The sequence below is a fragment of the Homo sapiens genome, chromosome 2, assembly GCF_000001405.40.
Source record: "Homo sapiens chromosome 2, GRCh38.p14 Primary Assembly".
Taxonomy (NCBI): Eukaryota; Metazoa; Chordata; class Mammalia; order Primates; family Hominidae; genus Homo; species Homo sapiens.
In genome coordinates, this window is record NC_000002.12 from 179,852,706 (window position 1) to 179,864,154 (window position 11,449).

General features: G+C 41.7%; 1 protein-coding gene and 1 non-coding gene across 11 annotated transcripts in view; both read right to left on the minus strand.

The window, feature by feature from the left end:
• Positions 1-8,907, minus strand: part of ZNF385B (zinc finger protein 385B) — a 419,631-nt gene extending 410,724 nt beyond the window's left edge. For all 10 annotated transcript variants that reach the window (NR_148057.2, NR_148054.2, NR_148056.2 and 7 more), the window contains exon 1: positions 8,396-8,907. The gene's annotated coding sequence lies outside the window, so the exon portion shown is untranslated. The remainder of the gene's footprint in view (positions 1-8,395) is intronic.
• MIR1258 (microRNA 1258) lies at positions 8,131-8,203 on the minus strand. Its single transcript, NR_031659.1, has one exon. It is a non-coding gene; the product is annotated as a microRNA 1258 (primary transcript).
• Positions 8,908-11,449: the final 2,542 nt, after the last annotated feature.

Sequence of the window (11,449 nt, forward strand, 5' to 3'; positions counted from 1 at the left end):
TAAGGTAGGAGTGTTCTCCAAGTGTGGTCTGTCGATCACCCGGGATACTTACTTAGATTACTGGGTCCTGCCTCAGACCTAGTGAGTCAGAGCTTTCAAGGGTTAATTCCATGAATCTGTATCTTTAGCCAGTTCCCAGGTCTTCTTTCACATGCTAAAGTCCAATAATGACTACACTAGAGATGGCTTTAGAACCAGCTTGATGACCACATGCATGGGAGAAAAGACCACTGTGCAAAAGAGGAATGAGACTATATCTTGCCTTCTTCATTTTGAGTCTTAAATATTTTACTCCTATGAAAGTTAGATTGACCCTTAAGAACCATACATGCAGTAATGAGGTATATATGGACTTAAGCTCTTTGGTAATCCTCCCCATAGTTTGCCAATTATATCTTTCTCTTACAAATTATTTTTCTTTCTATATTCCAATTTAGAAAATCAAATTTAGATGTGAAAACCAATGCCTATGAACCCAGGAGAGGTGACTATCCAACTATTAATACAATTCTAGTGCCTGAAAAAAAGACTGTCCTTAAATGAGTCTGCCCTAGTTATATAGACCCTGTTTACATAAACTGGCTTCTCTACCTGGATCACTCCCTCACTTGGGTCATTTCCAAGCATTCCAGGTTTATACATGTGTATCAAGTTCAGAAAGCATATTCATTCACAAGAAGCTATGTGTTAAGTTACTTGGTCTTCCAAAAGTTCAAGAACCCAAGTGTACCTGTGCTTCACATGGTTACAAATTTTCAGAAGTCCTTGTAGTGCTTAGAATTCCACATTTCTATGCTCTTTCATTTCATTGTTCTTTTAAAGTAAACAAGGAAAGGCAGATGAGAAAACAGAAAATATATAATTGAAAAATACCTAGTAAGTTTCAAACTGAAGGTTTAAAAGTCAGAGTTGCACAAGTTATCTTGGCAAAGAAATCAGTGTACCTGCAAGTATTTAATATTAATAATTAAATTGTATAATGTACAATTATGGCTACCTGTATGAGTATGGTAGGTGCCAAGAACTTTGTGAAGTATGCTATGTGCATTATCTAATTTTATCTGATGACAACCCCATGGAAGATTCTTTCATTATATCTCTCAGACTTGGTAAACGAAAGCACAGAGAGGTTAAGTAACTTAGTCAAAGTCACACAACTAATAAATAGAACTGAAATTTGCATCCACAAAATATGACTTCAGAACCAAACTCGACATTTAGGCTCTGCTATTTCCCATCTTCAATAGTGCATCACGTGCAGGGACTAAGATGTGTTTAATCATCAGCATTTCCAGATGTCTAAGAACATGTGCAATGGCTAATTTATTTAAAGAAAATTTCATATATATAAAATTGAAATGGCTGTATTTATATACCAGTATGTGTATCTGTATACAAACAATGGCATTTTTGTGCTCTTATTCTAAGCATTAGATTTTTCTCCCTCAGCCTGTGAGAAAAAGTTTTTTCACATCCAAAGTATCAAATCTAAGGAAATCACAGGGTCTACACCATTTCTCTGTGAAGTTTAAATGCTAGTGTTAATGCCAGAAGTTTTCTACTCTTACTTGTAATGTTTAATTTCCCTAGGCTCAAATTTTAAATATTCTAAATTCTCTGGGTCTCATTTTTCTAATTTATCAGTGAGGATTTTGTACAAAGATCTCTTTTAACTCTAAACATACAATGACACTGATTTAATGATTGTCTTTGAATGAATGGTAGTCATTTCCATATCCTTACCTATTATTAGGCTGCCATAAAAAAAAAAAGGCAAAAACTGTAACTACTTTTGCACCAACCTATTTCACAGGAATAGGAATCTGTTAAGCCTAAGAGGAATTTGAAGCTGAGCCCTGGCTTGAAATCAGTATAAACCAACCAAGAGTCCAGGCCTCCAGACGATGAAAACCTTATTTACTACACTATCCGTCAGATGGACCTCTTTAACTAATGCAAATCAAAAATCACAGCTCTCTGTAGAATTTTACACAATTTTAACACTGGTATACTGAAGCAAAGATTTAGAAGAATTCGCTCATTATCTCTCACAATGGGCCTTTTCTTAGTGTAGCTCAAACTACTTTTTAAAATTTCATTATGTCTTCTTAATTGTGTTATTAAAAAAGTACACATCACATCACAGTATGGAAAATAAACATTAGGCTGTTAGTGAAGATTTAACTGCAAATATTGTCCTTGATCCTAAAGTAAATACAGAAATGAAACTTTTTATTCCAAGAGAAAACAATGAAAAACTGTACTCATCTACAGTTCTTTCACATGCAAAGGATATCAGCATAACAATCTCGATAATCATGATCGAGTAGCTCTGCCAGGCCCACTGGAATCACAGAGCACCTCTTTTATTTATTTTCAGATGTGTACAGAAAAAAAAAAGTGGAATATGGTCCCCAGTTAATATTGTTTATGTCCATTTATCTAATCTTCGTTTTGCTGATATAATGATAACATAATAACATAATGGCTATTTCAGAATCTCAGCCAAAAAGAAAAGAAAAAGTTGATTAGCTTTTGCCTGCATAGCACAGGATATCTCTCTCTGTGTGCTTTTCTTATTTTTAAATTCCATTTCCCATTATAAACTCAGAAATGTAAATGCTTTGTACATTCATTTTTATTTCCAAAATAAAATGCTCTCTTAGGTCCATGAATTTCAATCTTTTTTACTTGTTGATGATAGAACTGTCTTTGTTAAAAGACTAAGTCATTTTTCATAAAGTAGGTATGAAAGCCTGGTCATCTTTTGTACCAGTTTATATGTCTTTTAATCCATCTCTGCTATTTATGAGATCATAAAGTTGATGTGGCACCAAATAGATCAAAAGCAAAAGGGCAATTGTTTTGTATCAGTATATATACTTTCTTCAGTATTTTTTCACTGACTTCTAAAAAATATGCTCATAAATTTCTTTTCAGACTGATTACATGGTGCTGAATATCTTGAAACTGACCAGGGTGGGCAAGAAAAGTGTTCACTTGGCTAAGGCAAGATGACCCTTAACCAATGCAGTGAGTGTAAGTTTTAATAGTATGATTATGGTGATAAACAGCTACTACCATTTCTTGAACAACCACAGTGTGCACAGTACTCTACTGCTGGCTCCAGGGTCATTATCCTATAACCAAGTCAGCCCATTTCACAGATGAAGAAATTGAAAGCCAAGGAAGTTAAGTAACCCCTGCCCCAAGCTCTCAAATCTGGTGGTGAGTGGCTAAGCCATGGTTTGACTTGGAAAAACACTGCATTCCTAAATACCGCACTACACTGCCTTTACAGACCAGGTACTATAGTTCTCCATCCAGGCTGGAAAGGGGGAGATTTTTAAAATACTGACATATTAAACCATCCCCTAGAAATGGCTAAGAGCATCACTGTTTTTCTAAAGTTCCTGAAGTGATTACAGTGTGAATCCAGGAGTGAGAACAACTGGATTAGAGGATACCAGGGAATATTCATTTTCTTAAGAAATAAGAATATTTCTTCAATTAGTGCTAGAATAACAACTAAAGTTCAAGTTGTTTATCTAGAACAGGAACCTGAAACAGGAACACCAGACGGGGGCATACATCAGCACCGGGATCATCAGAAGATTTTTGTTTCCTCCCCTCAACCTGCTCCTCCTTCTGCCCCACGTGCAGATCCCACATGGCATTTTAGTGCTTAAGTAGACCCAGGAAGTAACCCACGCCCTTCATCTACAAGTGATACAGGAGCCCAGAAAAGAAACAGCTGTGCCCAACATCTCACCCTAGCAATAAGGAGAGCTTGAGTCTCCTGCGCCCTATTTCAGTGCTCCTTTTGCTAAAAAATTTTGGAAGCAGTAGGAAAACAGGTGGGGCATAGAGTCAGCCAAGGCACCTGAAGAGAATTTTAAGAAACAGAGACAGCAGAGACAAAAAAAAAAAAAAAAAAGTCAAAGCAGAGTGGGAAAGGAGAACAGCCACAATCCGCAATCTGCAAATAATAGGGAAATGAGAAGGAATATTTAACAAAGCAACGCAACTGGCCAGAGAAAAATGTAGTAAGGAGAACTAGCAACTGCAATCATGTATCAGTAAAATGAGGTAAAAATACAAGGGAATAAACAAACCTTCCATTCAGCTTCAGAAAGCATATCCAAGCCCACAGTACTTTCAAAATAGAAAATAATATTGAAGCAAAAACAAACTGTAGGAAAATCTCCAGGCAGAGAGGCAGAGGCTGCTAGAAAATCCCAAGTCTGTTAAGCATCATCTACTGCACCTTGCTTCTCAAAGCGTGGTTCAAGGATCACCTATTTCAAAATTACCTGGGAGCTTGTGAGAAAGGCATAATCCTGGGCTTATTCCTAAACTTGTTCAACCAGAATCTGCATTTTAATAAGATTTTCTTAATGATTTACATGCACATTAAAGTTTAAGAAGCACTGGTTCTACTATAAAAACCATGTTGAGGTGTTAATAAAAGACAGTTATTACACAAATTGGTACTACAGAACTCGGTAAAATTCAATCCAACTAGTTAAATTATTTGTTGATGTCCTATGATATGGCAGGCCCTGAGCTGGGTATTTCAGGAAATGAAGGTCCCATGTTAGGCAAGGTTGGTGCAGTGCCCTTAGGGGAGAATGCACAAAGCACATATATATCAGGAAGACACTGACTCGTAGTCCACACGGAAGAGATCAAGCAAAATATAACAGAGTTTGCTGGAGCAAAAGCTGGAGTGCAGAGGGAGATCAGGAAGCATGTGCAATTGCACTGACTCTCTCGACAAGTGGAAATAATTGTAGGGAAGTGAGAGGGCCCTTCCTAGCAGAGGGAACAACATAAGCAACGACACAGAGCTCAGAGACCTGCTGTGTTAAGGAAACACTGCCTTCAGCCTAGAGAAGTCTCAAATTGTATCAAGGAGACTTGGGACTCTATGACGATGCCTCAGGACTACTAAGGGTAGGGAGGGGGAGCTAGTGGGATTGTTGGGACCCCATTCCAACCATTTAAGATTATATTTTAATAGATTCCAACATTGAAAAATAATATTTGAAATGTATCATGGAGCCAATACACATGGTGCTTTTAAAATTATCACCTAGTGCCGTGCTTGTCATGTAGTAGGCACTCAAATATTCACTGAATAAATTAATAAATTAATGACTGGATCAACCAACCAACGAGATCAAAGTAAAAAAAATGCAGAGCTACTTTGAGGCTGGACTGCAGAGGGTCTTCACTGTTTGAGGAGGGGTTTATATGTCACTTGGTAGGACACTAAGGAAAAGTTTACTAGCCAGTGATTAAGCTTGGTTCTCTTTTGGGAAGCTTATTCTGCACAACCAAGTGTGAAATGAATTGGGAGAGAATGGAGATGGGAAACGAGTCAGGAAGCCACTGTGACAGCCTCTAGAAACAGATAAGAAGACTGAAAAAAATAGCCACCATGGGAATAGAAAGATGAAGAAGCAGGCATCATAAAGCATCATGGAGATGAAGTCTGTGGGACTTTGTGAATTTTATGTGGAAAGCAAAGATACTGGGAGGGTCATCAGTGACTAGGAGAAATATTAAAATTGACACAAAGTCACCCTTGTTCACTTAGGAGAAAGATGTTAATTAGAGCTTAAACCTGGTAGAGTTGAGGCACATAAGAGCAATATAAAGCTGTCTCTTAGGTGGTTCAAAATGTAAATATAAAATTTTGGAGGGAGAGTAGAGCTAGGATGTCACTTCAGGAAGAAATAATCTAGCACTAATAAAAAGAAACAACTGAATAAAAAGTAACATACAAAAGAGCAAAAAGGAGATAACCTATAATCTATAAAACCACAGAGATCAAGAGAAATCCCCAAAAATTTTTTTAAAAAAAGAAAGAAAGAAGAAGAAAAGGTAAAAAGACCATATTGAGACACAGTGGGGACAGAGTCAGGAATTGGGGTGGTGGCAAAATAGAGATAATGAAACGGCGTGGAGGGGTTATAATAAAAACCAGAGACACATAAAAAGCGGTGGGAAACTGGGACAGACACACACTCCCTGTTCTTTAGATCTTTGAAGACATATAGGATATTATGGGAACAGCAGAGCAAATTTTGCCCTTTATTTATGTGAACAAAGACTCACTCCTGTAAGAAGTTAGCTAATTGCTCAATTTTTAAAATATAAATTGTTGCTATGAAAAATCAAGCAATGATATCTTCAAATTCAGCTTGGAAAAAAAGTCTAAGGGCAGGGGAGGCGGGGTGGCCAGTCCAGGGACTTAAGATCCTTGTCTTTTTCATGGTGCCCAACTCCACATAGCATTAGTCTGTACAGGCATTTCACCTTTCAGAATTGTTTTGAAAGATTTTTTTTTCTCTGAATCAGGTCACTTGCCTGAGAAAAAGAATGCTGAGAGCACCTGATATGCTTTGATCGATCCTCATTTAATAGTTACACTTTTTAAAGTTATCTTCCAGCTGCTGACAGGTCTCACTAATTGGCCATATTTGGGTGACAGGTACTAATGACAATTCCCTCTCTGATTTGACTATAGAGGAGACACCTCCGTTTGGTTTCCTTTGTACCTCAGTTGAAGAAAAATACATTAAATTCATTGTTTTCTTTTTGCTCTGTGAATCTGTATATTGTTAAAATGCTGTAAAATATCAACATTTTTTTCAATATAGATGATACTTAGTGGTTATTAAACTTCTATAAAGAGATCATTACTTATGTAATGTAAAATAATATACTGCAAACAAAGCACATAAGAAACTATGCTGCAAAACATTGTATCACCAAGATGATTCCAACATGGACAGTAATTTTTCCTTTGTTAGGAGAATTCACCTTCCCCAAAGCATTTTACTACAAATGCATCCAAGAGAGGTCAAGGAGATCTACAAGAATAGCTATCTGATTTGTGGTTTTTATCCCAAGCTTCCTCAAATCACTTTTGGAAATAGGTAAGAGTGTAAATTATAAATCCACAAATATTTAATTTATGGGAATATAGAATCTGAAAAACAACCAACACTTTGATCAAATAAGCATCTTTTTCATCTTAAAAACCTCAAGTAACAGAACTTGCAATGCTGTATTTTGCATTCTAAAGGCATTTATCTGTTACAGGGAAGGGGCAGCACATACTCAACGCACACATGGCATCAAAATAAGATTAAAGGACTCTGAAAACCAGTGAAATTTGGCCTTGGAACATTTAAGGGAGTTCTTTCAAGCCAAAGCCTTTAACTTACCTAAGATGTAGCTTATTGACTTTATGAAAAGCCCTCTTTTTAATTAGATAAATGCATTTCCTACCGTTTCATGAATTGTGTGGACGCTGCCAGTTTCCACGCTTTAGGCTAGGCCCTATAACAGAAATGTTTTGTTCCTTCTATAGGAACATCTTTTGCTACTACATCTTGACAAAGTTTGCATTCCCCTTGGTGTGATATTCCTCAGCAAAGCAAAACCAAAAGGAAATGCAAACCTCATCTCTGTATGAAAATGAAAGAAGACGTTTCCCAACCCAAGAACTTTTGAGAGCATTCCAAAACTGCGTTATTTTGTATTCATGGGCGTGGGGAGAGGGGGGATACTTCTTGGCAATTTATTTCCCCTGAAGAACAGCACTCCCTATCCAGGTTCACCATAAAAACTGTGTGTCCTCCAGAGTCTAGGGAAGCATCGTCCTGCCAGCTCTCCCTTCTCCCCACAGGCCCCCGCACATAACAGTGGCGAAACAGATGGTCCTCCCCCTCCCCTTCTCCTCGTCCCTTCCGCAGTCCCACAGTGTCCTCCCACCCTTCCCTGACACCTTCACCAGCGCTTAGTGGCCGAGGCCGCCCGTCAGGGCTCCCAACAAGTGCAAACTTCGGGGACCTTCTCTCTGCTCCTCTGCCCCCATCTCATCTGGGTTCTGCTGCAGAACTCTCCCACGACCCCAAGCTTCGACCGCTACCCTCCTCACACACCTCGGTCCCCTAACTACCCATTTCCCGGTCATTGAGAGAAAGACAAACCCCAAACTTCCAGCCCAGGTGACGAGGCGCTGCGGCTAAACATAGCGGGGCACTCTCCTCGTCCTTTCCCCTCTCCATCCGTCCTTGGGAATTGGAGCCTACCCTGGGGAACAGAGGAGTATGCTCCTGTGGCTTCCACGACCTAATCCTAACTCCAGGGACTCGCAGGAGTTAGGATTAGGTCGTGGAAGCCACAGGCGCCTGGGCGCCCTCCTCTACAAGTGGGACCTTGAGACAAAGTGCAAACTCTACCGGGAGGGGGGCTCCTGGCCATTCCCTCGGGCGGCGCGCCCAGGTGCAGGCTCGCTCTGCGGAGGAGGGCGGGGGCCGGGCAAGCAGAGGGCGCCCAGTCCGGGGGCGCCGGTCTGGGCTGGGCGCCCAGAGCTTACCTCGGCGCGCGGGCCGCGGGCGCGTGGGGCAGTGGCTCCTCCAGCCGGGAAGCTGTTGCTCACGCTCCGGTGGTTGCTGCGGTCCCGCCAGGGCTGCACCGGGGCTTCGCGCAGACGTTCTCCCGCGATCTGCTGCAGCCCAGGCGGTGGCGGTGGCGGTAGCAGCGGCGGCGGTGGAGGTGGCGCGGGCGACAGCTCGGCCCGGCGCGGCCCCTGAACTGTCCAACTCTTGCCCGCGCCGGGCTTAAGCGCCCGGCCGCTGCCCCCGCGCTGAGCGCCTGCGCACCGGGCCTCGCCCAGGTGAGGGGCGTGTGCCCGGAGCCCGCTGGGCGCGCCCGGCCCGGCCCGGCCCCGCCGCACGCCCGCCCCCCTGGCCTGGCCGAGGACCCCGGGGTTTGGACGTGCCAACGCCACTCTCGCGCGCCGAAGCTGTGACGGTTTACTAAGCAGAGACTTGCGAGGCACACAGAGAGGGAATGAGGCGGAACCGTTCGGGGGCTCGTTGACACTGCAGAGCCTCCCGCAGCATCGCTGCCTTAAATCCCGCCTTTCCAGGCGTGCGCGCACAGCGAGCCAGAGGAGGCTCCGTCCCGACCTGGGGTCCCCCGCGGTCCTCAGCCCGGGGGCTCGGGTCCCCGAAGAGATCCTTGGCAATGGCAGAGGTCCCAAAGCCTAGATGCCAAGCCCCGCGATGGGGCGGATGCTTCCAATATTAGTCAACCCAGAGTGAAACTCTCTTCTTGGAGATCGTCAGACCAACTATTTGTTTTTCCTCTTTGACCACCCCTGGGCTAGCAGAGCACAGCTAGCAGCTTCGGCATATTTGGCGGAGCCGGGAAGGCCCGGAGCGCAAGAAGGCATCGCAGCCTCGCAGCAGATCTGAAAGGGTTGTGGGCGGGGGGCTCATTTTCGCCGGATTTCTTTTCCGTGTTTAAGTTTTCAAAACTAAAACCTGTCATCGGTTACCCTGATGTAGAGGGCATCTTCTGAAAATTAGTGCAAACATGGCCAAGGTGCTTGGTTCTGAAAGGGAAAGCACTTAGAACACTTAAGAAAGGGAAAATAATTTTAAAAGAGCAGTTTTCTGAGATTACTTCTTTGGGGAGAAGTTCAATAGTCATAAATGACAAGAGAGTTGTGTTATATAGCAGGGATTTTTTTTTAACCAGATGATCTTAAAATATTTTTCTTTGGTTCTTGTCTCAGATGATTGACACTACGTAAATAATCCTGCAGCTGTTAATGTCTTGGCATAATCGTCTAGAATAAATATCTTAACGTCCAGCCAAAGCCAATGTTGTTCTCCCAGGGTGGGCTTCAGATGTGACAAACAATCACACCATCCTAGAGCTTTCTAAGGGAGCAGGCTGTGTTTTTAAGCACCTTGGAATGTAGAGTTATTGCAAGCACCAGCACATTTGAGGTACCAGCGTGAGAAAGGGCATAAATCTGACTTACAGTTTTTGTATTTTTAGAATCCAAATATCTTCACATCCAGGTCGGCAGTCTCAATACTAAGAACAAACGTTTATTGGTGTGCTTATTCTTAAAACTGTACCTTATTTGAAGTTGCTACAGAAGGACAGCACCAAAATTCAATCATTTTAACCCAAAAGAACATGAGCTATGATAATTGCTTAAATTATCTTTCACAAAATTATGATCTTAAGGTCTCTTGTCATCAATAAAGGTTATGTTGAAAACACGTCTTTCACAAGTCCCTGAAGGTCAGTAAGATGGAGCTCTGGCAGACTGGGACAAGCAGGAAATTCCAGAGGCAAAAACCTTCCATGAGAAAAACACCCAGCTTCCAGTGCCATGCACTTCAGAGTTGGGACAGCGTGGTTGTCGAGGTTGCCTCTGAGCTCAGGTAAGTATTGATATCTCCAGGAATCTAAGATGCAGAGAAAGGGGTGAGGGCCCCTTAAAGTCTCCAGTCAACACCTTGGATTGCACTTGGAGGCAAATGAGTAACCTCTGCAGAGTGGAACACCTGTGAGAAGTGTTCTCCGTGGCTTGCACAGTTTAGCAGCATGTGCATTTTTTATGTCCTGCAAACTGCAACTATATCCTTCCCTCCTCCCTGTCTATTTTTAATCACCTATAGCTAAGACTCACGGCAGAGAATAATTTGAGGGTTGCATTTCCTAACAGCTGAAAGAAGCATAAAATACATGCAGACAACTCCCAATTATTCACCTGTGACATAACTGACTAAGAATCCTGCCCTTCACGTCCTTAGCCAAGGCAGGATTAAGGCCTCTGGAGCCCCAAGCACAAAACAATTGCAGTGCCTCCTTTGTAAACGCACTTCAATATGGAAACAACATTAAATTTAAAAACACAATATTTAAATATATAGAGAAAAAACAGCTTCTGTCTCGATTTTCTGATGCAAATGTGTTTCTATTGTATAATTTGTCATTGAACATGCCTTTACAGTGTTATCTGACATAGGGGATTCTCCTGTCCTCAAAGCCTCCAAGCACCATTTTCCTGGAAACATTCTGGCTCACTCCTGGCAGTAATGGAGTAAACCGACTCAGAGAACTATAGCCCTAGGTTCGGGGCGTTAGGAAAGTGGTCAGGATAGCAGCAACACTGGAAGGGTAGTTCATCAAGGAAAGAGCCCAAATATCAAGGAGGAACATAACAGAAAGGGATTAATTTAAGGTTTTTTTTCTACTTTTGTGTTTATGAAGTGTATAGTGCATTAGTTCCTAAATATTGAAGACCTTAGCTAGACGAACTCCTTTTAACTACATTCACAAATTTACACTTTCCAGTGAATAAAGAACTTGGTGATAACAAGGAACATCAACAAATTTGGAGACTTCATAGTTCCCTTAGTTTTACTATATGAGAAATGGAAATGAGTTCATACATAAGATGTATACTACTCGGGTGATGGGTGCACCAAAATCTCACAAATCACCACTAAAGAACTTACTCATGAAACCAAATACCACCTGTCTCCCAAAAACCTACGGAAATTTTTTTTAAAGATGTCATATTGTAAAACAAGGCCCTACAGACATTTTGGATCACTTTGCA